Source organism: Homo sapiens, chromosome 15 (genome assembly GCF_000001405.40).
Source record: "Homo sapiens chromosome 15, GRCh38.p14 Primary Assembly".
NCBI lineage: Eukaryota > Metazoa > Chordata > Mammalia > Primates > Hominidae > Homo > Homo sapiens.
Genome location: NC_000015.10, coordinates 27,637,520 through 27,640,667, shown reverse-complemented (window position 1 = coordinate 27,640,667; position 3,148 = coordinate 27,637,520). Strand labels below are relative to the sequence as shown.

At 47.6% G+C, this 3,148-nt stretch overlaps 1 annotated feature.

Annotated features, from left to right (window-relative positions):
* Nucleotides 1,361-2,105: an enhancer, noted in NCBI's record as "H3K4me1 hESC enhancer chr15:27883709-27884453 (GRCh37/hg19 assembly coordinates)". NCBI's record gives its function as "activates a minimal SCP1, AML or CMV promoter by ChIP-STARR-seq in naive H9 embryonic stem cells {active_cell/tissue: H9 hESC(naive)}" and the evidence as "EXISTENCE:reporter gene assay evidence [ECO:0000049][PMID:30033119]".

Genomic DNA, 3,148 nt, shown 5'->3' with positions numbered 1-3,148 from the left:
TAGGTTCAGTCTTTTTACATAATCCCATAGTTCTTGGAGGTGTTGTTCATTCTTTTTCATTCTTTGTTCTCTAGTCTTGTCTGCCTGTCTTATTTCAGCAAGATAGTCTTCAAGCTCTGAAATAGTTTCCTCTGCTTGGTCTATTCAATTATTGTTACTTGTGATTGTATTGCAAAGTTCTCATATTGTGTCTTTCAGCTCCATCAGGTCATTTATGTTCTTCTTTAAACTCGTTATTCTGGTTAGCAGCTCCTGTAATGTTTTATCATGGTTCTTAGCTTCTTTGCATTAGGTTAGAACACGCTCCTTTAGTTCAGTGAAGTTCCTTATTACCCACCTGCTGAAGCCTACTTCTATCAATTCATCCATCTCAGCCTCTGCCCAGTTCTGTGCTCTTCCTGGAGAGGTGTTGAGATCATTTGCACGAGAAGAGGCACTCTGGCTTTTTGAGTTTTCAGCATTTTTTTCTTATTTCTCATCTTTATGAGTTTATCTAGTTTTGATCTTTGAGGCTGCTGACCTTTGGATGGGGTTTTTGTGGGGATTTCTTTTGATGCTGCTGCTGTTGTTGCTTTTTGTTTGTTTTTCTTTTAATAGTCAAGCCTCTCTTCTGCAGGGCTGCTGTGGTTTGCTGGAGGTCCACTCCAGACCCTATTCACTTGGGTCCTTCCCGCATCTGGAGATGTCACCAGTGGAGGCTGCAGAACAGCAAAGGTGGCTGCCTGCTCCTTCCTCTGGGATCTCTGTTCCAGAGAGGTGCCGGCCTGATGCCAGTGGGAATGCTCCTGTATATGGTGTCCGGAAACCCCTGGCTCACCCAGTCAGGAGGCACGGGATCCGGGACTCGCTTAAAGAAGCACTCTGGCTGTCTCTTGGAGAGGGGGTGCACTGTGCTGGAGGGAATTCCACTCGTCCGGACTGGCTGGGTTCCTCAGAGCCAGCAGGGGGAAAAACTAAGTCTGCTGGTCCTTGGAGACCACGGCCACCCCTTTCCCCAGGAGCTCAGTCCCAGGGAGGTCAAAGTTCTGTCCCTAAACCCCTGGTTGGAGTTGCTGAAATTCCCGCATGGAGGCCCCGCCCAGTGAGGAGGGATGGGTCAGGGTCCTGCCTAAAGAGGCACTCTGGCCATGATCTGCCACAGCCGCTGTGCTGGCTGTGGGGAATTCCTCCCGGGTCCATACCATCCAGTCTCCCTGGTGCTGGCAGGGGAAAAACAGCTGACTGGAGCTGCAGTGATGGCAGCCGCCCCTCCCCAGGTAGCTCAGTGACCTTAGGCAGCAGCAGATGCAGAAGCGGTGGTGATGGCCGCCCCTCCCCGGGAAGCTCAGTGGTCTTAGGCAGCAGCAGATGCAGAAGGAGTGATGGGTCTTAGGCAGCAGCAGATGCAGAAGCAGTGATGATGGCCACCCCTCCCTGGGAAGCTCAGTGGTCTTAGGCAGCAGCAGATGCAGAAGCAGTGATGACGGTCGCCCCTCCCCCGAGGGGCTCAGTGGTCTTTGGCAGCCGCAGAGGCAGATGCAGTGATAATGGCGCCTGCCCCTCCCCCGTCTTAGGCAGTCTCCAGCCAAGTGGCCGCTGAGAATCTGCACAGCTCTGTGCTTGGAACCTAAGGCCCTGGTGGCGTGGGCTCACTAGGCGGAACCCCTGATCCGCGGGTTGCACAGATCCGTGGAAAAAAGTTTTCCGGGCTGGGTAGTGCAGGTCACTCACTGCCTCCCTTGGCTGAGGGTGGGAGTTTCCCTTTCCCTATGTGGCTCCTAGTGGGGCCATTGCACCACCGTGCTTTTCCTCGCTCTCTGTGGGTCGCACCAACTGCCTAGTCATTCCTGGTGATAGAATCTGGATACCTCGGTTGCCGGTGCAGGATTTGCACACTGTTTTTGTTCTTTTCCATGGGAACCTCGCATCGCAGCTGTTTCTAGTCAGCCGTCTTAGCCCCTCCTCCTTGGTGATTTTATTGTTGACTTTTAGAATTTACATTTCATTCTTTAGCATAGTTTGGAGTTCTATGCTCCACTTCAGAATATTTTTAAGTTCTTTTGATATTTTAATTTTAGTTAATTGAAAGCTAGTATCTCGTAACTCAATTTCCTAAATCCCTTGGGTGTTTTTTTTATTTCTCTTGATTCTCTTGGATTAGTGACATATTTGATATTTCTGTATGCCTAATTGTATTTCTTTATTGTTTCTTTACTTGTTACTTTTCGTTTGGTTATAATTTCAGACTTACAAAGAAGCTGTAATTAGAGTACAAAGAACTGAATAGCCATCACACAGACTCGCCATTTTGCCCCAGTTGTTTCATTATTTTCCTGCTCTTTCTTCATGTGTGTATGGTGTGTGTCATGACATAATTTTATCCTATGTACTTTGTATATGCTTTTTTTTTTTTTTTTTTTTGAGATGGGGTCTCGCTCTGTCACCCAGGCTGGAGTGCAGTGGCGCAATCTTGGCTCTGCAGCCTCCGCCTCCTAGGTTCAAGCAATTCTCCCACCTCAGCCTCCCCAGTAGCTGGGATTTCAGAGGCATGCCACCACACCTGGCTAATTTTTGCATTTTTAGTAGAGACAGGGTTTCACCATGTTAGCCAGGCTGGTCTCGAACTCCTGACCTCAGGTGATCTACCCACCTCAGCCTCCCAAAGTCCTGGGATTACAGACGGGAGCCACTGCACCTGGCTGGTATATGCTTTTTCCTAAAGCTTGGAACTCCTATTACAACTAAGAAGGAGTAGCGGAGTTAGTCCCCTAGTCAACCTTACACACACTTTATGCCAGAACATTGAAATAAATGTATTAATATGTGTTTACAGGGCTACTGTAAAAATGACCACGAAATGAAAAGTGGGATAAATCTTCCAGGATGGATAACTGAGAATGCATCTTTACTGGCTTCCACATTCAGCTGTGGAATTGAGTATAGAGTAGAAAGTCAGAAAAGCATGTGCATTGATTTTTCTTTTAAAATGTTCTTCGTGCCTGAAACTAAGGTTGTGTCTATGTCGGTTAGCTGAATAGCAATAGCTAGGTAATAGCGTTTACTTTTGCTCATAGTGATGCTGTGATTTTTTAAAATCATGGTCAATTAGCTTTCCTGACTGACTTGACAGTGGAGAGGGTTGCTCTTAAAGTGGCATGGGATTATGAAC